General features: G+C 39.1%; 1 protein-coding gene across 6 annotated transcripts in view; it reads right to left on the bottom strand.

The window, feature by feature from the left end:
- AFF2 (ALF transcription elongation factor 2) overlaps nt 1-24,046 on the bottom strand; it is a 500,047-nt gene that overhangs the window by 263,394 nt on the left and 212,607 nt on the right. Inside the window, exon 1 of one of the 6 annotated variants that reach the window (NM_001170628.1) lies at nt 18,039-18,179. The exons of the other annotated variants lie outside the window; for them this stretch is intronic. Within the exon in view, the coding sequence (NP_001164099.1) occupies nt 18,039-18,089 (51 nt within the window). The 5' untranslated portion in view covers nt 18,090-18,179. Of the gene's footprint in view, nt 1-18,038; nt 18,180-24,046 lie in introns of those variants that run through there. 6 annotated transcript variants of the gene reach the window in all.

Raw genomic sequence — 24,046 nt, 5'->3', positions numbered from 1 at the left:
CAAATGAAAACACATTCCATGCTTATGGATGGGTAGAATCAATATTATAAAAATGAGCATACTGCCGAAAGCAATCTACAAATTCAACACAATCTCCATTAAAATACCACCATCATGCTTCACAGAATTAGAAAAAAACAATTCTAAAATTCATATGGAACCAAAAAGGAGCCTGCACAGCCAACGCAAGACTAAGCAAAAAGAACAAATCTGGAGGCATCACACTACCTGATTTCAAGCTATATTATAAGGCCATAGTCACCAAAACAGTGTGGTACTGCTATAAAAATAGGCACAGAGACCAATGGAATAAAATAGAGAACCTAGAAATTAACCCAAATACTTACACCCAACTGATCTTCTACAGAGCAAACAAAATCACAAAGTGGGGAAAAGACACCCTTTTCAACAAATGGTGCTGGGATAATTAGCTAGCCATATGTAGGATAATGAAACTGGAGCCTCATCTGTCACGTTATACAAAAATCAACACAAGATGGATTAAGAACTTAAATCTAAGACCTGAAACTATAAAAATTCTAGAAGATAACATTGGAAAAACCCTTCTAGACATTAGCTTAGGCAAAGATTTAATGACCAAGAACCCAAAGCAAATGCAATAAAAACAAAGATAAATAGCTGGGACCTAATTAAACTAGAGAGCTTTTGCATGGCAAAAGGAACAGTCAGCAGAGTAAACAGACAACCCACAGAGTGGGAGAAAATCTTCACAATGTATACATCTAACAAAGGACTAATATCCAGAATCTACAACGAACTCAAACAAATCATTAAGAAAAAAAAAATCCCATCAAAAAATGGGCTAAGGACATGAATAGACAATTCTCAAAAGAAGATATACAAATGACCAACAAACATATGAAAAAAATGCTCAACATCACTAGTGATCAGGGAAATGCAAATCAAAAGCACAATGTGATACCACCTCACTCCTGCAAGAATGGCCATGATCAAAAAATCAAAAAACAGTAGATGTTGGCATGGATGCGGTGACCAGGGAACACTTCTACACTGCTGGTGGGAATATAAACTAGTACAGCCACTATGGAAAACAGTGTGGAGATTCCTTAAAGAACTAAAAGTAGAACTACCATTTGATCCAGCAATCCCACTACTGGGTATCTAACCAGAGGAAAACAGATCATTATAGGAAAAAGATACTCACACATGCATGTTAATAGCAGCACAATTTACAATTGCAAAATCATGGAACAAACCCAAATGCCCATCAATCAATGAGTAGATAAAGAAACTGTGGTATAGATATACAATTGAATACTATGCAGCCATAAAAAGGAATGAATTAACAGTATTTGCACTGATCTGGATGAGACTGGAGACTATTATTCTAAGTGAAGTAACTCAGGAATGGAAAAACAAAAATTGTATGTCCTCACTGATATGTGGGAGCTAAACTATGAGGACACAAAGGCATAAGAATGATACAATGGACTTTGGGGACTTGCGGGGAAGAGTGGGAGAGGGGTGAGGGATAAAAGACTACAAATAGGGTGCAGTGTATGCTGCTCGGGTAATGGGTGCACCAAAATCTCACAAATCACCTCTAAAAAACTTACACATGCAACCAAATACCACCTGTACCCCAATAACTTAAAGAAAAATAAAATAAAATAAATATTTAGGTACTCAAAAGAAACAGAAACTTATTTGTACAATTCACTTACTTTTACTATAAAGAAATCTCAATGAATTGCATTCATTTGTTTACATAAGCAGGAAAAAAGATGGAGGTACTAGAAAAACAAATTTTAATATTCTCATATGTACCAATATTTTACCTGTTTAAAATTGATAAACTATATGGTAGAACCACATTTTAGCCCAAGTGTTCCAACATAGTCTTCATGTGCCTTAATGAAATGCAAAACAAAACAAAACAAAAATTGCACATTGTTTAAATTCCTAAAAGCTAAACATAGGATTGAAAGAAAGAATAACTAAAGGTGGATATGTGCATAAATATACACAGACTCTCAAAGAGAACTGTGCATCAGAGAATCTGAGAAACTATTTGTTTGCACATTCTTGGATGAAAAATTATTTTCCTGGGTCTTTGGTCTTTCCAGCATCAAAGATAACATGCCATCTCTTGCTTTAAAGCCTGAGATACATGTAATTCCCAAGCAAGCCACTTGTGCATATCTGTCAAACCTCTGCAAAACTAAGGGTCTATTCTTATATGAATCGATGCCTAATAAGTCTGGGCGACCTAATTTATAGCTATAGGCACACAATGACATTTTCTTCAAGGTGAAGTTCTAGTGTTTTCACTTGCTTGCTGGGTGATTTTTGGAGAGAATAACAGTCTCCTTCTCTGGATCTAAATTTCTGCATCTGTCAGACATGCTAGATGATCTTTCAGTGTTCTTCCAGTTCTCACACCTGTGTCTCCGTACATACTCAAACCAGTTGAAGGTACACAAAAAATACAAATGCACAAAATTTATGAAAAAACATGTTTATAAAGAACCATTTAGTAGACATTGGGTTTCACTGCCTCTGTTATTTGGTGGAAGTGGTGAGGAAGGGGGACTCTTATTCATAAATATTGAGATAGACTTTTTAAGATTCCTAAAATGTTTTTAGTTAACATTTTCAAAATTGTGACACTGGTTAGCCTAAGACAAACAAGAGAATGACCCATCTTCAGTAGATATCATATACGTCATTTCCTGATTCAACAAAGGAAGATAATGTAGTAGTCAGTGTGGCGAATTGAATAAAGCATATGGTGGAATACTTGGGATGGTATCCTGGCTCCATGCTTTACTGTGTGGCTTTGAGAAAGTGGCTGTTCTCTCTGCAACACAGTAGGGATACAATACTAGCTTCATAGTATTGTTCATAGTATTGTTGGGAGGTACACATGAGATAATGTGCATAAAGGCCTAACAGAGTGCCAAGCACATAATATATGCCTATTAACTATTCCTTTCCTCTTCCATTTTTAATGGCTGGTCTCTCACTACTATGTTCATAGTCCTCGCCGGCTACTGCATCCAAACTCCTGAGCTGAAATCATACAATAGCTCAAGTACAGTAGCCAAACAAGTGCCTATTACAGGAAAGGAATCCATAGACAACAACTAGAGGCAAATAAAGTGCAGAGCAAGCACTTCATCACCCTCCCTGTGTGAGTCTAATGTGGCCTGGAAGGTCCCCACTGGGTGGACAAGAGGGCTGCAGCACATGTTCTGTCCCCAGGCTTCTGGTCCCTCACCACTATGTTTATATAAGGTGATGCCATGCAAGGATATTTAATAGTCTTGCTGTAAATGGCACTATTGTTGGAACCAAGGCCACTGGATGGAAATAGCTAGGTAGGTTTTGGTCTCCTTCTGTCAGATTATAGACCATACACTGCATAACTGGCTAGTTTTGTCTTTCCAAACAAACTAGCATTTGGTCAGGCCCACTGTCAAATTAAGACATTTTCCTGTGCTTGGTGGGACTTTCTGAAAGCCACAATTTCCAAGCATTAATTATATCCACTGGTGGGTTGTGCATCTATTGATATGTTAACTCAGTGGCAGCACTGTAAAGGAAAAAAAGTAAAACGTACAAGCACAAAAACACAAATCGTGGAGTTTCAGAAAGTATGGCTTTTGCTTGGATAAAATATGTATTTTTGCTCATCAGTAATATTTCAATTTTTTATTTTTCATAAAAATTACTTTATTGTCTCCTTTGTGTCAGGTGTCTTATCATAGGCAAGCCTACGGAGTTCCAACTTCCAGAGCACTAACACAGTTTCTCAGACAGAAAAAGGGTTCATTCCAATATTTATTAAGGAGATGAATGAATGAAAGGATGAATGAATGAATGAATGCACAAAAGAAGGAAAAGTATACTAGATTTAAAGGGATACAATGTGTGAGGGCAGAAAAATCCTACAGTACTTAGTACCTAAGATGACAGTACTGGAGATGTGGGTGTTGTGTCACAAATATTTTAATAAATAAATGAATGACAATTTCACCCATCCTTAATTAAATGTTCTTAACACATAACGCCAAGCAGGCAGACAATGTTGCATGAGTAGTCAAAATAACTAATTTTTATTACTTCATTCTCAGCAGCTCACTTACAAGGGTAAAACAGTGAACCCTACCTCCAGACAAAAATCTTGCCAATAAAATAATATTTATTATTATAATTATTTTAGGTTGAACACAGTTATTGATGGGAAGTTAATTGTATCTCTAAATCAGAGTCAGTAATAACCTCTTGACCAAAGATCAAATCATTTTGAAGCTGGTGCTATTTATATACAAGGAAAAGGAAGCCACAAACATGTCATTCAGTGTTGTTTGAATAAGAGAGTTGGCTGCTGAGTTATTGAATTATTTCTGCCTCTAGTGACAGGTAGTTAATCTGGACAATTATGGGCCTTTTGCTCATAAAGCATACCACATCCCAAAAAGAAACTTCCAAATAAGCAATCCTTTATATTTTTCAAAGAATGAGTGCATGGATCACCTCCTCTGGCCCTCTAAGCAATGCTGAGAGGCTGGTGAAGCAGGTACTAGGTACTCCCATTCTATACATAAGAAGCTAAACAAGATCAGAATACTGAAGTGACTTACCCCAAAATCACAGTAGTTTTTTTTTTTTTTCATCTGCTTGTATTTCTTTCTTTTTTTTTTTTTTTAATTATACTTTAAGTTTTAGGGTACATGTGCACATTGTGCAGGTTAGTTACATATGTATACATGTGCCATGCTGGTGCGCTGCACCCACTAACTCGTCATCTAGCATTAGGTATATCTCCCAATGCTACCCCTCCCCCCTCCCCCCACCCCACCACAGTCCCCAGAGTGTGATATTCCCCTTCCTGTGACCATGTGATCTCATTGTTCAATTCCCACCTATGAGTGAGAATATGCGGTGTTTGGTTTTTTTGTTCTTGCGATAGTTTACTGAGAATGATGGTTTCCAATTTCATCCATGTCCCTACAAAGGACGTGAACTCATCATTTTTTATGGCTGCATAGTATTCCATGGTGTATATGTGCCACATTTTCTTAATCCAGTCTATCATTGTTGGACATTTGGGTTGGTTCCAAGTCTTTGCTATTGTGAATAATGCCGCAGTAAACATATGTGTGCATGTGTCTTTATAGCAGCATGATTTATAGTCATTTGGGTATATACCCAGTAATGGGATGGCTGGGTCAAATGGTATTTCTAGTTCTAGATCCCTGAGGAATCGCCACACTGACTTCCACAATGGTTGAACTAGTTTACAGTCCCACCAACAGTGTAAAAGTGTTCCTATTTCTCCACATCCTCTCCAGCACCTGTTGTTTCCTGACTTTTTAATGATTGCCATTCTAACTGGTGTGAGATGGTATCTCATAGTGGTTTTGATTTGCATTTCTCTGATGGCCAGTGATGATGAGCATTTTTTCATGTATTTTTTGGCTGCATAAATGTCTTCTTTTGAGAAGTGTCTGTTCATGTCCTTCGCCCACTTTTTGATGGGGTTGTTTGTTTTTTTCTTGTAAATTTGTTTGAGTTCATTGTAGATTCTGGATATTAGCCCTTTGTCAGATGAGTAGGTGGCGAAAATTTTCTCCCATGTTGTAGGTTGCCTGTTCACTCTGAGGGTAGTTTCTTTTGCTGTGCTTAAAATGGCAGAATTTTCTCTTGAACAATGAGCCTTTTGACTCTGTATCCAGTGGTTTTTAAACTCTTCCTTCTAAAATTTTAGAGTTTTCTACCTTGTTCTAAAGTAAGTGCTTTGTCCGAAATGCTTCCTTTCTTCTGTTATTTCTGAGAAAAGGTAGGGGTTGCACTTTGAAGGAAAATGCAATTTCCCAGATGCTTGGGGATGGAGTATAAAAAGTGAACCTGTAGTCAGATATCAAGTGAGGGCCAGCCCCACACACTCACAGAGAAAATCTTCCCATTCCTATGAAAGCAACTCATTTAGATAAATCAAACGTTGCCACTTCAGTTTAGGTCCTTTGGGACTGGTGCTTTGCCAAGACCAGCTGGGAAAAGATACATACAGCCTGGCTTGCTACTGCTAAACTCTGAGGTGTGGACACGTGCAGCAGAACTCGTCTCTATAAATTGGTCTAAGACACTTGGCTAGGCATAGATAGAAATGAATTCTTTGGGATCTTTTTGGGGGTAGAGCAGCATCGGGGAGATTTAGGTCACTCAAGGAACTGGATGCCATACCTTGAAATGGTCTCACTGAAATGACTTGTCAGAAAGAGCTGATCTGAGACAGAGGCCTTTAAAGTCTTGCCCAGATTTATGTACACAATCTTCCTGGCTGCCAAACACCTCATCCTGGAATAACATGCTTCAACATCTAGGCTGTTAATAGCTGAAATGGAGCTTCTGTCTTCCACAGCTTGGCTTCCTGAGACCACACCACCATCAGAAAGCTGCACTGGCAATGGGGAGCTCAATTCTCACTTGCCTGAATTTCCTGGTGAACTAGTTTTAAGCCCCAGGAATGGTTTCACTTGTTTGCTTGTTAGTAGTAGAACTGACATGCAACATTGGCTTTGGGTGTTTTGTTTTGTAAGTATGGCTAATACTGGCCAACCAAGCCCAGATGTTCTGAAAAACATAGTTCGGATCATGTCAATGCATGTGCATCTCATGAATGTGCAGTTTTGTTTTGTGGAGTAGATGTTGGGGGAGGAGTAGGCTGACTTCCTGAAAGGAAATGTCATCTAAATCTTCCCCTAATTTTCTTAACACTCTACAATAATCTGAGGTCAGTCAACAAAGGCATTTTTTTTCTTAAAGTTTTCATCATGATTTAGAAAAATAACAAAACTTATTTCTGTCACTGGGTCCTTAGGTCATCAATAAAGGACACTGCTAAACTCTAAAACACCTCTGGACTTCAACTGTTACCTGCAGACAGACAGGCAAACTCATCATCTAGGAAATCTTTGGTGTTTGGAACGGCTTTGGAGCTGGTGGAAAGCAGCCTCCAATCTGCTGCAAAAATCCTAGAAAGGTTCTTAAGACAACTTTGGATATTACATTTATGTTATAAAATAAAATTTTTGAATTAAATCAGAGAGGATTTGCAAATTAAAGAGAGGCCATCAGGGATTATTGCTTAATCAAATGGAGTCACCCTTTTATCACTTCAAGTGTTTTAGTATTTGGGTGTGTTGACTTTTCAGAAGATCTTCAAGCACATTAGTAGAAGTATTAGAAATCTTATTAATGATTATTGCATGCCACAGATATGCTACCACTCACACAAATGCGTAGAACATTCCTATGAGGTAATTACCATTGGTAGCAAGAATTATCATCACTATTTTACAGCTGGTGAAAATGAAACCTAGAGATACTAAGCAATTTGTCCAAACTATACAGTGGCGGTGACATAGGCATAGCAAAGTGGAAAGTTGAGACAATTATCTGGCCAAGTCAAGCCAATAAAAAACAAGCAATTGAGAGTAAAGTGCCTCCTTCCCAACTCCCCGAATTAGCGAGATCACTCTCTGCATTGATTAAATTCACTGGATAATTGTTTTAATGCCCCTTTCAAACCCTTGTCGTCCCTTCCCTGAACTATTGTTATAGCTCCTAACTGGTCTGTTTCCCTGTCTCTAGTCTTGTCTATTCCCTGTCTCTCCAATTCATTTTCTACTCACCACCAGAATGAAAGCCTGGGTATGCCAGTTCCCTTTTCACAGGCCTAGACTCAACAGAGAGCAAATCCATTCTCCCTCTCACAAATCTAAACAGAAAAGAAAATAACGTCTGTAGTGTCACATTGAGACTTTCTGTCATCTGCTCCATCCAGCCTCATCTCCTTTGCTCTTCTCCCTTCCCGACCATGCCCCTTTATTCTTTGGTGTCTTTGTTATTATTCCTTCAATGAATGAAAAATGTCCTTTCTCTACATTCCACTAATCATTGCCATTTTCATCCTTGAAGACCTAGCTCAAATGGGACCTCTATTATCACGCTCTTCTTTGGTCCCTTAAGTCAGAATGTACACCAGGCTTTGTGTAAGTCCAAGATATCCCTTAAGCCTCTATTTCACACGTGCATAATTCTGTCTTGTTTACATTTCTGTTCTTGTCTCTCTTCTGATTCACCCCATGAAGCTGTAAATTCCTGGCAGGCAAAGACAATGTTTAATTCATTTTAGTGTTTCATACATATCTCAGTGGTTAGTGTGGAGCCCAGAACACAGGGAATACACAACTACGTGTGTAGACACAGGCAAAGATGCAGAGTGACACACAAACCCAAGTATACCCAGAATAACCGCAACCTTCCCAAGTAATTCAATCCTACTCCCTTCTAAAAGCTTAAAATTGCTCGATGAATAATGGTATGCATTTCTTCTGTCAGTCTTCATTCCTAAGCAGGGGGAACCTGTTAGTTATATAGTGAACTTTATAATATGTGCCCATTTTCAAATAACTGATTTACTCACCTAGTGGATATTTTTTGGCATTTATCAGATTTCCAGACCTGCATGTAACTAGGCATAGAGGTATATTGGAATAAGGTGCTTACAAGTTACTGTCAAAAAGCATTTCACGCCTGGATCTGCATTTGCAAGTACACTATTAAAATGTGCTTTAACATGACTGCAGCATTTTTAAACAGCTGGCATATTCATCGGAAAAAATAATTAGTTTTCAATAAAAGTTGCTTTTTATTACTCAGGAAAAGTCCTCTGGTGACTTTTAAGGATCTGCCAGGTGAAATTTCAAAATGAAAATAGAGTATCCTTGCTGGCTAGTAGCCAAGTAGAATGAAAGACAAACACACTAATTTGTGCCAAGTCCAAAACATGTTGCACCAAGGCAAAGTGGGTAAGTACCCACCTGGGTTTAATGTTACATAAACCCACCCATCGTCTGCTTCAGCTCTACAGAAAACTGTCCACTTGGGGCCTATGGCCTATGGATTGCACCAGTTTTATCCCCTCTCTTCTTGCTGGCAGGAAATGAAAATGAGTTCAGTAGACAGCAGAGATTTCTTTAACAAGAAGCCAGTCCCAGGGAAGGCTAAGGCTAAAGATTTGCTGTGAAACAGCCTACAACAAAGGAAAATGGACAGTAAACCCGATGACGCTGTGGCAGCAGCTCTTTTTGGAGTGAGAATTGCATGCCACGCCCAAGCTCAGCTAGTTATGTACAGTCAATTGATTAACTAGTTAGTGTCTCGGAATAGTGTTAAGTTGAGATTTGTGTCTTGCAACTTTTTCCCTGTTCTAATGGCTCTTCAAAAGCACTCATGTATTAACACCAAAGACATCAACACCATCAATTACAGAAAACATACAAAATACAGTATCTTTTTATCGGAACTCTCTTGATCTTGAATCAAAGAAGTGAGGAACATCTGCAACAGAAACATCAGCCTTGAGACACTATAAGGCTATAAAGAACACTAGCAAATTGTCAGCTAGGCTTACTCTAGTGCTGTACAATTTCCATGCTGAAGCAAGATGAGAGGCTGAAGGCTTAAAAGCTAGCTAGCCTTGTGGTATTAATAGTAGCTCAAAAGGTAGAGTTGGGAGTCAGAATATCTATCTTTAATTCTATACATTGCTACTCGTTTATTTAGAGTGATTTTCAACGTGTTCCAAACTCATTTTTTTTTTCACTTTTAAAGTGGCAATGAGAATGCCAACCTCAGAGGACAATTGTGAGAATCTATGAGACAGTGTTTTGCAAAGTGTAAAGCACTGTATCATCATTGACCTCCTTTTCACTCTCTCCATTTATCTTTATTTCCAAAAGTTCTAATGTATAAGCCAATTTCCCATTTAAGAGAGTGCAATTTAGCATTCATAGTCATTTGGAGCAGAAACTATCAATTCTGCAAAGTGATATGGTGGAAATACAACATGCACAACTGTGACATGCTTCCCAGATGCTGAGGGTCATTTTATAAGGCTATTTGTCTGCTGGTATAATTCGATTGTTAAATGAATCTTAAAATTTGATAAATATTTGTGTTTGAAGTTGAGAGCAAAATAGCTCAATTCCTATAGGACATATTTAATAAAATGAAAAAAAAAATTTGTCCATCTTAATTTAGAAGCTTTTAGCAGTTAGGTTATTCCAGTCAGATAATTCTAAAACAAAAAAAGCAGATTTCCATTTTATTATGCTTAAATAAAGCCAATGATTATAGGTCATTATTAATTTGAAATAAATAAATAAACATTTAAATCTGACTATAAAGCATTGCTTCCGCCTTTCAGAAAGCACAAGAAAAAGGATGCCTGCCACATCTTTTTTGGGTGGGAGGCCACACTGGGGGCTCTGTTAATCTGTACTGCCCAGGATGCCCTAACAATTGTTAAGTTGTGTGTCTGCATGGGGACCATGTGTGCCCTGGGGGATTGTGTTTCTTGTGTGTGCCCTGGCTATCTGGATACCACTTCAGGCTTGCAAGGTTTTTGGGTCAACTGCCAACACACTGCCAGAGCTGTGCTACACCTAAATCAATACCCCAGGCCAGATCAAAATGGTTCATACAAAAACTTAAGAAGGAAGCCACCTGGCTTTTTAACACAGACCTTTGTGATTGGTGGGATTTGTTTTAACTGGCTAAATCCATGACCCCTAAAAGACACGACTGAGATCAATACTGCAGGTTAGTCTCACCCTGCCAAATGGGGTCATACTGATAGTGATTTTGCTATAAAGATACCTTGGCCAAGGGACAAAAGGATGGTATGTGCAGAACAGAGTTTAAAGTGGCAGGCCTGAGACTGCTCTCCTTAGAAAGGCTTTTTTATAAGGTTGGTCTTCGGCTGAAGTCTGGGCACTTGACTGGTAAACAGTTCCCTATACCGATAAGAAATTTCCCCTCCGTGACAAGACTGTTTTGCCCACCTGGGGCCCTAAATTGGTTTTCCCTCTGGGAATCTGAAATTTTGGTAGTTGCTAGGCAGAGTGGGCCTGTGTGACCAGACCCCAGTAAAAACCTTGGACGCTAAGTCTCAAATGGATTTTCCTGGAAAGAAATATTGCACGTATGTGGCTGCATTTTTGTTGCTATGGTGAGAGCTTGCTGTGCGGCCCCTCATGGCAGGGATAGAGCATAGGAAGCCTGCACATGGATTCCTCAAGACTCTTCTTGATGTGTCTTTTCCTTTATTGATCTTGCTGTAATATTTATTCTTGTTGTGTCTCTCAGTCTTGAGTTTGACTGCATGTTAAGTTCCACAAGTCCTTCTAGCAAGTCAATGAATACTGGGTGGTCTTGGAAAACCCCTAAACAATCGCCACATGGAAATTACTGAGGAAAACTGGCCTATAGCCCTTCAACACTCTATTTTTTAAAAATATAAAGTTCTTTTAAAACTAAAAAATCATTCTGATTTGTTGCTAGTTCTTCAAGAAACTCTTGGCCATCTTGAAAAGCCAGGACTGCAAACTAAAGTGGCCAAGATATACTATCCATAATAATTTAAAGTATTACAAGTAAAATAATTTTGAGTCACTTAAGTTTTTATAATCAATTGTCTTTTGGAGAAAAAATCAATTAGAGATCACAGATGTCTCGACAAAGACAGAAAGAAATGTCGAAGTGCAGTCAATGACGATTTGTGTTGAGTAAGAGAACAGGAAAAGGGAGAAATGCACTGAAAGTTTATCAAAGACGGACATTATGTCAGAGAAGTAAAAGTGTTCTAGAGGCACCAGCCATATCTTAGTAAGCTAAGTTTTCTTAGGACCCAAACTCTAATCTCTGCTTGCCCACAAAGTTGGAGGAAGTGCCTTTTAAGAAACTGTGTTGTCTTGGGATTTTCTCAGAGGGCACTGGAGCCTGTTTGTGCTCCATGTTTTATTAAAGGAGGAAATGGTCTTTTATTAGAGTACCTGATCTTCCAGACCAAATCCTGGTAAGAGGATCCCAGAACCCACTCCACCTCCCAGGAAATCACACTGGATGCAGGACAACATCCAGGTTAAGAGAGTTCAGTTGATGTGGAGCAGAAGATTAGGCCATGCAGGAGTGACACTGCTCACAGGGTCCCTGTGGGGGTAGGGCTTTTGGGACTGACTTTTCCATTCCTCACACTGCCTCCGAAGGGTTCTCCAAGGACTGATGGAATTATTGATGGATATGGCTAGAGTGGCTTTCTTTAGGTGTGCTGTAAGAGTCAAATGCCACCCTATGGCTTGACAACTAGACTAGGCTGATGTCTCTTCTTGACTCAAACTGGGTACCAGCTGACCCTATATGCTTGCCTGCTTCACAAAAAAAACTACCCGTGTGCCTAGTATTATCTATCCATTATCTAGGACCAGAACCATAATATTCAGTGGTGACCTACTGGAAGCAAAACTTGGCTAACAGTAATAATAGTAAAAGTCTAAATGATGTATTAATTACTAACTCCGCTGTTGCTTCTGTCCTCCCTATTGCTATTCCACTACTACTAAAGCGCTTAGCGTTAGCTCCTTTATGCTCATTGCAACATAAATTGAACACCTTACTCTAACTATATGACATGAAAGTAATAGTATTCTTTTCACTTCTTGGTTGTACTCCCTTGTAAGATTTGGAGAATTGTGTTCAAATCTAGGTGGCATTACTCAGTAATTCTGTGGCCTTGGGCAAGCCATTCAACCTCTCTGTTACTCAGTGCCTTCATTTGTAAAATGGGATAGTAATATCTCTCAGGCAATTTTGTTAAAATGATTAAGGGCAAAGTAGGTAAAAGACCTGGTCTAATATTTTATTCATCATAAGTTCTCAATAAATGAATGTGACTGCAGATATTGTTGTTGATTTTATTATTTTTTATATTGTTACTCTTATAATGAGGATGCAATTTATGCAATTTATGCCAAGGTATCATTGTTGGATACCTCTAAAGTTTGAGTGCAGCCTACTCTCTCAAAGGATGAGCACAGTAGAGGGCCATTGGGTGTTAGACTCCAAACATGTACCTGAGTTCATTTGTTACCATGGCCTAAACACAAGGAGAACCCAGTTCTGAGGTCTGCCATAGGAGAGAGGCACAGCAATCTTCCTAGCAGAAACATCCTCCTCAAAAGATACAATAGATCATGCTTATGTGTACAAAATCCCATGGCCATCATGAGCCTTGGGGCTATTTTCATTTGCTTTTCTCCATGTTTCAGGTTAATTGACAGTCTTTTGTTTGCTAGGAACGGGATGGGAAGAAGTGGCCAACCTTGGTAGTGACTTGCTTCACCTCCTCAGGCATACGCTTGGCAATGAGCATGGCTGTATGATTAACATGAGTAACATTGTTCCTGTTTCCGCCCCATGTCCAATGCCCCCACCATCATCACCAAAAAAAAAAAAAAAGAAAAAAGAAAAAAAGAAAAAAAAAGGTTTTCAAACCTGAATACAATTTTGGTTACAGAACAATAAAGGACAGAAGGACAGGTGACAGGCCCAGCTGGAAGGCCTCTTTTTCATTTTCCTGTGGCCACAAATCAGACATCTTGGGCTCACAGCAGGACAGGCTCCACTGGCAGTAATTGGCACCATCTGTAGCTGTCAGAACACTGGCTGGCATTCCAGCATTTCATCTTTCCAGTCAAGGCATTCATCACTAGTCCAAAACTCAGCCAGCTGACACTGGAAGATTAACTTGCATTGATTTGCTTGGCTAAACTCACCTGAGCTTCAGTTGGTACCGAACGTTCCTGTTTAATAGCCAGCCTCATCTCAAGATGTTTACAAGGTGATTGTCTACTGAAGTTATTTTTTTTTTTATTCTCACTCCTCATCTTCTGCCTAATGTGCTCTCAATAATTCAACTTTGGGAAATGGTGACTTAAAATGGAGAAAAGTGAATGCTTCACATGATCCCTGCCAAATGCCAGGCCCGTGAGCTGTATAATTAGAAAGTTTGTCTCCGTATCTCTCAGTTGCATTAAATTTCTCCCTTATCAAAGTGTTTGTATGTGGTAGAAGAGATATTTTGATCTACATTTTTGCCAGAGGACGTTAGGGAATCAATCATCTCAGAGGTAACTCCCAGGCCATGAGGTTGGCTAGCCTGCTACCTTTCTACTGTCCAGCCCATGAACATTTAAATTGGCCTTCTGCCCTGGGCTAGGCCCAGCACTCAGCATGGGGGCTACAGAGAGACATGAGCCATAGGCCTTTGCAAGCCACACTTCTCATTGTGTGGTGGAGTGGAAAACCACGGTAATTAGGGACTGTGGTACACTGTGCTATATGACAAGGTAGAGGACTGACCACAGCCCTATACTCATGAAGCATGAGAAAAATGAGAACCTATCTCAGACTAGACACTAGATCAAGGAGGGCTTCCTGGAGAAGGTAATACTTGAGTGGTGAAGACTTGAGAAAGAGCTAGCAAGATGGTAAAGGGAGAGAAAGGAAGAGAACATTGCCCAGAGGACTGGGGTATACAAAGGTAGTGAGGCATGACACACATTGGGGCAGTTGAGATGCTACAGTGGTAGTTCATTGTAATGGCACTGCAGGATGGCTAAGAATTGAGGGAGTAGGCATATTAGGCATTTATGCTAAACTAAGGAGTTTGAATTTCATCATGTTAGTGTTGGACAATCATTGATGGAGTTTTTAGCAGAGTGTTGACATGTTCAGATATGCAATAGTATGGAGGACGAACTAGGGAGAAGGGACTGGAAACAGAAAAACAAGTTAGAAAGAAGTCATTGCCATGTTCCAAGCAGTAATGATGCAGGCACAGGCCAGCTTGACAGCCTACAGTGATTGATGAAAGAGGACATCTCACATGAAGATGAGAAGAGGTAGGAAATTACAAGGTCTCGCTGGTCGAGTTCTTGCGAGCCTGAGTGGAGGGAAGGGCCATTCTTTAAGAGGGGGAATAAGACAAAAAAAGAGCCAGTGCAACCCCAAATATCAGAAGGCGTGGATACGTGTCACTTAGCCTGTCTTCTCAGCAACTCTACCCACCATGCTCACTGGGAAATCCATACTCTGACAACACAGTGTTACTTGCTGAACAAAATCTTGTGGGTTTTTGTTGTTGTTGTTGTTGTTCCTGAACCAGAACTCACACAATTTCCCTCATTTAAAGCCCTCTTTCCTCTGCCCTTCTGACCAGTCCTTCCATATCAAGATCAGCACCTAGTATACTATAAGACCTTAACAGACACTTGCTGTTATGAGTTGAACTGCGTTCCCACCCTCAAAAGATGTGTTGAAATCCTAACCTCTGGTACCTGTGTATATGACCTTATTTTTGAACAGGGCCACTGCAGATTAATTTGTGAGGTTAAGATGAACAGTTACTAGAGTAGGGTGCACTCTAAATCCAATATGACTGATGTCCTTATGAGAAGAGGGAAATTTGGGCATCGACACACACCCATGCAGAGAAGAATATCATGTGACAATGGTGACAGACACTGAAGTGCTACGGCAACGCCCGGGGCTACCAAAATCTGGAAAATGTAAGGAAGTATCTTCCCCTAGGGGCTTCAAATGGACCATGGCCCTGCCATCACCGCAGTCTTCTAGTCTCCAGAACTATGAGACAATAAATGTTTGTTATTTAAGCCACCTGGTTTGTAGTACAATGTTACAGCAGCACTAGCAACCTGATACACTTACTAATTGAAATAGTCAAATAAAATCATGCCTCTACACTGCCCTCCACTGTTGGTCCTAGGCAGATGATGCCATCCTAACGAAGGGCTGACACAGACAACCTGTCTGATAGGATAATAGTGATAACTGCCCCTATTTATCCAATGTTCTATCTGCTAAGCACTAGATAAATATTATTTCATGTTATCCGCACAATGATTTTCAATGCATTTGTTTCATTTGTGACTCACAATGACACTATGAGGTAGAGACGATTATTATCCCCATTTCACATGTGAGGAAACTGAGGACCAGAGAAGGACTTTCCCCAGTGTTCCAAAGCAAATAAATGGTAGAGCCAGTGTTGGCCCACTCCAAATCATGTGCTCTTCACTGCCAGGTTCAAGTTTTCATTTATCCACACCTATTTTTTGTCAGGCCTGTCCAATTTTGTTCAGTGTCATGTTTCTTTCTGTGCATATATTTTCCTTTGCATTTTGGAATATCTCACTTTGATTGTAAAATACACACCCAAAAGAAAGTTGCCCTCCACCAAGTGGATTCTTTACACATAGACTTTAAGCCTATAATGTCAAGAGGCAGTTAGACAGACATGTTATAAACCCTGGAGGCTTTCAATCAACTAAACTACCTGAGACAAGGAAAATATTCCAGGGTGCAAGTTCAGGTAATATCTATATCTCATATCTCTATGGAGGACAAATATCTCTATGAACCCTCCATAGAAATATGAGATATGGATATAGAGATCTGTTTTATCCTTCTGAGTATATTTGAAAACACTTAGAAAAGAATGATTCTAGACCCATTTCAAAAATGCAACTCCTAGGACTTGCCTTGGAAAGCAAAGCAAGTGATAAATTGCAAGTGTCACTTAAATTGCCACCCTCTTACTTGACAATGTAAATAAAATGTTCTTCTGTGAATGAAGATGTAGGAGTCAGAATAGCATGACAAATATCTGTTTATATAGTTATTATCAAAATATTACTAACAAATATGCTTCCACCATCTTTTTGGGAGTAACTGATGGCAACATTAGTGTTTAATTTTGTACATGAGATAAAAAGCACTGAGGAATAGCACATGTGTTGCTCTTTCTATCACTATTATCATTGTTACTCATAATAAACATTTATGGAGCACCAACTATAAATACTCATAAGCCCAAAGGGGAAAAATGAAGATAGAATTGACAAGAGTTATAGGTAAAAGATTAAATATATATATCTATATATGAATATGGATATATGATTGATTGAAGGAAGGAAGGAAGAAAGGGGGAGGATGGGAATGAGGAAAGAAGAAAGGAAGAAAGGAAGGGAAGGAAGGAGAGAGGGAGGAAGACAATGTACATTTGCGCATGGTTTCTTTAAACATTCCCAGAAAACTAGACCTACATTTCTATAAGTGGTCCAGCCACAACTTCCCCCCACCAAAATTAAATAAGTAAATTTCCTTCAAAGCAGAACTCAGCAGCCACTTCAGCAAGGTGAATTACTGTAGTTGGAGTATATTATGCTCATAGATCTCACTGAGGAACCAAGCAAAAAGTAGGGGAGGAAAAAAAGTGAGAGTTGAAAAAAATTAGAGAAAGACACAAGAGAACACAGAGGGAAATAGAGTAGAGTTGGGGGAATGGAAGAGGCTGGGAGTGCAAATGGTGGCAATGGTCTAACTGATGTAAATGGGCAAAGTGAGTGGTTATCTTTAGCATTCTACATACCCATTGCCAAGCATCCCTCATTATAGGTCTGTATTTCTTAACATTCAGTGAGCACCTACTACATGCCAGGAGCTCTGCTGGGCCCCTCCATATGCTAAGTTTTGTTGTCATTGTTGCTGGTTAGAAAGCAACAAATCTAGCTGATAATAAAGAAGCTAATTCTGACTTCAAACTCAGCCCCATGTTGTTGGCCTGCACCATCCATTCTGGAACATGTGAGCACTTAAATAGCAGACAAATAGGCTGTTTTGTTATCGTTGTTTGTTTTGATCCCCACGACCACTTAGTAAGTTAGAGATAATTATCCCTATTTGGTGGATGAGAAAATGGACATTATCCTTTACTGAAGTCTCAGAATGACATTCAGTTTTCTTCTGTTCACTTTCTGATGTGAGAATCTCAGATCCAATCCATTATGCTCTGGTTGTCCTTAGTTCCAAAAGGGACAGTCAGTGAAGCATTCTGACTACCCTGAGGCCTTTAACTGGTGTTTGTCTCAGTTTCCTTACTTAGTGAGAAGGAAATCCATACAATTTTACCTCTAAGGAACTGTATTTAAATCAGTGCTTTGGATAGCTTTAAGCCAAAGGAAATACCTCACTGTGATCAGGACTCATTTGTAAAGAGAGAGAAAAGCTACTTGTTAAGCCTTTGGCTGATTGTAGACCTTCTACAGCCAACTCATATTGCCTACCTTCATCTTGAAGAAGGACGGAAATGCTTGGTGCCTCCTTTTGAACTTCATGGATCAAGAAAGAGGGGTGAAGCATATCTTACATCTGGGATAGATAGATGGGCCACTGCAACCTTCCTCTGGGTTGCCACAACCAAAACTCACCTTAATATCCCAGACTGCCCCAAAACTGTTGTGGAATCACCATGTTCTTTATTCTAGGTCACAATAAATAAGCTAATTATGACATCATCTCAATTTAAACTCTGTTTTGTTAGCTTCCTCCATCCATTCTTAGACACCTGAATACTCAAACTATCAAACAGTGTGCATGGTAAATCGTGGGACACTGTAAACCATTACCTCATGAGAATAATTCAAAATACAGTTGGTTTATTTATCCATTCACTCAACCTAGCCTAACTAACTATGCTCCTACTGTGTGTATAGAACACTGCTCAGTGCCAGGGATACAGAGATGAATAAAACAGGTTTCCCTTTTCTCAAGGGGCTCAGAGACTCCACATGTGTACTATCATAAAATAAAAAAAAATTATAAATATGCAAACACACATAGAAGGAGAGAGGTTTTAGGTTTTCTTGATAACCGCTTTTATGTTTGAAGACTAATAGTAGTACTTTCTATTTATGAAATTGTACTTTTCAAAGCAGTTATATACCTTTGATTCATATGAACTTCACGGCGACCCAGTTAGATAGGTAGGGATGATATCATTTCGAACTTGAAGATAAAGAACCTGCAGCTCTGAGGTTAGGTGTCTTGCCCAAGGTTGTACAAATTATAAATACAAGTGTTGGGCCCCAAATCCACGCTTCTAGTCCTAGGTCCATTGCCCTTCCCAGTTCACATCATTGCCTCGCTCAATTATTTATAAGTGTTTCTGAAAAGGAAATGATGACCCTATGCTCATTTTGTGGGGTCAGAGGAGACCTGAGAATGCAACAGTGGATGATTATCCATGATTATGTTTTCTTCAAAAGCATCTGAGAACAGAGGGACATGATCTCTCTCTAAATGAATTCACTTTTTCTTTTGCATGTCTGTTTTATTTAATTTATTCTCACATAGAGATTCACTGAAATAATATCCCTTTAAATTGTTGGGAACCTTAACCTTTCTTCACTGATGTTACAAAAGGTAAGTCCACACTCCTTTATATGAGATAAAGTGTTACTGAAAGATGCATTCTATGTTAAAAAAAAAAAAAACTAAGGGGAAATATCATGTAAAGGAAACTCATAGTCAAAAGAAATAATGTATGATCAAATTCTGGGCCTTGGGAAGTATCTGGAGTGATTTTTCTGCCTTTTCCCTTCTTTTCCTCACCACTGCCAGTACCATCATCACTGCAACTTTGGGCAGGTAACTAACTGTGGGCAATTGCAGCCAGTGGTGTCTAAAACAGCAGGTGAATGAGGAAGACCAAGGCTGCCTCTGTTCCTATTGCCCTTCCTTTACTCACATCCAGGCACATTGCCTCCTTCCTGTTCTCTGAACACACCAGGCAATGCCCCTTCTTATGACCCTTTGAATGGCTGCCCCCGCTACCTGGTATGTTTGCAGCTCAGATGGCACCTGTTCAGTGATACCCTTCAAAATTGCACTCCAATTCTGCAATCCAGGTCCTCCTTGACCTGCTCCATTTTTTTAAATGTAGGTAAAACTACAAGACATAAAATTAAACACCAACCATTTTTAAGTGTGTAATTCAGTGGCATTAAGTACACTCACAATGTTAAGTGAACATCACCACTGTCTGATTCTTAAACATTTTCATCACCCGAAAAGGAGAGACTCTACATATTAAGCAGTTACTCTGTGTTCCCCATCCTCTGGTAACTGATAAGCTGCTTTCTGTCTCTAGGGACTTGCCTATTTCTGAATGTTTCATATTAATGAAATAATATATGTGACGTTTTGTTTCAAACCTCTTTCAGTTAGCCTAATGTTGTTATGGTTCATCTATGTTGTGGTATGTATTCGTACTTCATTCATTTACATGGCTGAATAATATTCCACTGTATGGATAGACCATATTTTGTGTATTCGTTTGTCCATTGATGGAGATTTGAGATGTTTCCACTTTGGGGCTATTATGAATAATGCTATTATGAACATCTGCGTGCCATTTTTCTGTGTGGACGTATGGTTTCAGTTCTCTTAAATGTATACCTAGAAGTGCAACTGTTGAGTTATATGATATCTTTATCTTTAACTTTTTGCAGAATTGCCAGACTGTTTTCCTTTTTTTCCTCTAGCACTTAGCATGCTTGAACATACTATACTTTCCTTATTGTGCTTATCATTTATTATCTGTCTCCTCCCTCTAAAATATAACCTCCACATGGGCAAGAATTTAGTTTGCTGTATTCCTTGATGGATCCCCAGTGTCTACAATAGTGTGTGGCACATAAAGGTGTCCAAGAACTATTTGTGAGAAAAAGAAGGAAGACAGAGGCCACAAAAGGCATCTGTGGTGAGTGGGGAGAGCAAGTAGTAAGTCACTATTCCTATGTAAGAGTATATATAGATAAGGCAACTGAGAGAGGGGCTCCCTGCATTTAGAAATCCCCTCTGATATGCAGTTTCAACACCTTGAGTTGTAATTCCTTGAGTAATTAAAACAAGACACTGTAGCAGAGCCATCCATAGTAAACTCAGAGAGAAAATGGCCTGCCACCCTGTATGTCATGGGAAAATATATGTAGGACCAATAATGACTAATCTAGAAACACTCCCCCAACCAAGGTCATTCATATCACCTGAAATAAGAAGTTAAGGAAATAAGGAAGCTCATCTTACACTGGCATAGATTCTTCTATCAGAAGACATTTGTTTAAAATTAAGTTGTAGGGTCCAACGTTCTCTCTTTTGATTCTTCCCTGGGGGCACTAGGAGTATAGTATAGAAATGTGTTAAGTGTAGCACTGTTTCCAACAGCCAAAAAACTGGAAACAACTCCAGTGTCCTCCAACAAGGGGATGGCACAATAAACAGTGCATTATCATATTTAATAGCCTAGAATTTGGGACAGCTGGTCAAAGGATTGAGTTAAAGCCAGTAGATTACTATGACATATAGTTAGCTGAAAACAGCAACACTTACTATATATGTACACACAGACACATACACATATATATGTATATATAACCATTTATGTAAAATGCACCTATGCAAAATAATATATATAATGTGGTTGTGAATACACACACACACAGAGAGAGAGAGAGAAATGATGCTTTGAAGGCATCAAATTCATAGCAGTTTTTACCTACAAAAGCAGGAGAAGGGACAAGAATTTCAGACAGAAGCAAAAGGGCACTTGAGGCTTATCTGTAGTGTTTGTGTTTAATCATGTATTCCTGTATTCCTTGAGTAATTAAAACATTTTAAATGTATGGGATCATCATTTCCTGTGGGAAATCAGAGAAGATGATTGTATTAAAACTTTGGGACCCCTAGAAAATTAGACTGCAAAGTAAGTGTATCTGAACTTGACTTGGTTCTTACGAAGTTGATTAAACAAATTCATACCTATGCTGTTGAGCAGTGAATTCATCCATCTGGATTCAAGTCTATAAGTAGAATGCTTTTGACCACAATTAAAACCTCATGGTTTCTCTTTGGACATATGTGTTCAAATGGCCCCTATCATCCTCATATTGGGATATGTGCAAGAGACTTCTCTGTGGTCTGCTCCCCATCATTAGAAGAGGTCAAGTCTGGCAGCAACAGGAGAGAGCTATGCTTGGAATCATCCGGAGCATGCACGCATGTGTGTGTGTATGTCTGTGTGTGCCAGCGAGCACACACTAGTGGGAGTGGAATGGTGTACATATATGTGCTGATCTGGGGCTTTCTTGATGTATTACTTGCTGAACTTCTTCCCCTTTGCTTGTACACCTAACCAGAAACTAAATCTAGTGACATTAAAGGTGCTAGAAGAACATGCTTACTAATTGCTTGATAAGGAACATGCCTACATTTTTATAAATTGCTTGATAAGAAACTCAGATCACTTGCTGCTCTGCAAACATAATGTGTCCTTTCCCTTGTTAGCGCTTCTATCAACGTCATTCTCCCAGCCAGACTACGCTTCATCCTGGTGTTCAAGGTCTGCTGTTCAAGGTCCTGGGATGCTTCCTTGAACCCCACCTCTGCAGTGACGGCATTCCTGGTTTTTCCTGGCAGACACCATCAACTCATTTTTGAACTTTCACTCTCCTCTTCCCTTTATTTTATTTTTGTTTCTCTGATTTCTGTCTTCAGCCTCATTTCCCACATCATCAAGACTAAACTACTCAATAGGAGGGACTGTGACCTACTTGGCCTAGACCCCTGCACACAGTAGGTATATAGCAAATGTTTGTTCTCACATTTATTCACTCTTTCAACAAATATGCAGTAAGCATTTACTCTGTGTCCAGCACTATGATGGTTAATTTGATGTGTCAATCTGGCTAGGGATACAGAAGTGAATGAGACAGAGGAAGCTCCTGACATTCTGGAGGCGACATCTTAGGAGGAAGGAGACTATCGACAGGCCATTGGCATAAAATTTTGGTTCTCAGTAAATTTTTTGTGTTGTAGCCATGGTATATACTTGTTCAATTGAAGACACTGCACGACTTCCACAAAACACAGTACTGCACAGAGTAGGTACTCCAAGGGCACTGAATCTGACTGAACTAAGCTAGCATTATTATTATCAAACTCAACTGTGCCAAAGCAGTAAGAATAAACATGATGAACATACTGCAGGTCAGCCTTGAGTTTCAGAGTTTTCTATCTTAAAAAAATAAGCATCATAAACTAAATCCACAACATAGGAATGCAAATATTAGTCTGAGATGGAAAACAAAGTCTAAAGGAGCATATTTTAATTAATTAGGGAGTAATCAATTATACATAAAGACACATACCCTAAATCTTACTTTAAAAAAGTGGTCAGTATATTTTATATTCCTGGTACCACAAGCAATTAATCAAAAGTTTACATATTTCTTCAATTAAGATACAACATGTCAACAACTGCAGTTAAATGCATCATAGAAATGGAATGCTCTTGCAGAAGGTTTCATTAAGTTTAACATGATTTACAGAACTTAAGATACATTGCTGGGAGATTTTTTATAACACTGCAGGAAGTACTCCAGGGATATCTTGACCCACTTGAAATTATTTTAGCTGCACTATTACCTGGGTCACAACTGATGGCAGCATATATCAATTACATTGCAGTCATTTAAAACATGCTTCTATGCATCTGGTCATTGAAAGATTCACTTCTTTGCATTTTCATACCCTGAAAGAACCATTATAATGGAACTTCTTAAACAGACTAAGATTAACTCATTTACCTCAGTAGGGCCCCTACAAGACATGCTACTAGGAAATATGCCCCTTAAGACTGCAAATGTCCCCTTCGTGCATTTCTGAGGAGGCCAATTTTTCAATCCTCTTCCTGCTTTCTTCCCAATCTCTTTTATTTGAGAACTGACTACCTCACATTGATTTTTGGACTCAAGACTCAATAAGTGGGCAGCCTTTTCAAGTTTATTCCTGCCAATGGATAGAAGAGATAGAGATGCCTATAATTAGGCTGACTGCAAGTGGTTTTGGAACATAATTTATTTTTCAGAAATTTTGTATGTTGGGTGAAATAGGAAGTACTGGAAATCCTATGCTGAAGGTATTTTCTGTAAAATTTATTGCTAATTATTTAATCAGGGCACATTGTGCATTCTTCACTGCAAGACCAACCTCCCCCAACACTGAAGGTGCTAGCCCTAAGAGACATGAGTTTTATAAAATCCCATTATCGAAGTTTACTATATCACATCAAGAGAAATGACAAAATTTGATGCATTTCTATAACCACCAAAGTGCCATGCAAAGGTGCCTCACTCGTGCTGCTCAAAACCCTTCAACGGCTCTCATCTCACTTAGAGTAAAATCCATGGCCCTTATAAATGGTCTGCAAGATGCTGCTCCAAGACCTGTTCTC

The sequence above is a fragment of the Homo sapiens genome, chromosome X, assembly GCF_000001405.40.
Source record: "Homo sapiens chromosome X, GRCh38.p14 Primary Assembly".
Classification (NCBI taxonomy): domain Eukaryota; kingdom Metazoa; phylum Chordata; class Mammalia; order Primates; family Hominidae; genus Homo; species Homo sapiens.
This window is presented reverse-complemented; position numbering and strand designations above follow the sequence as displayed.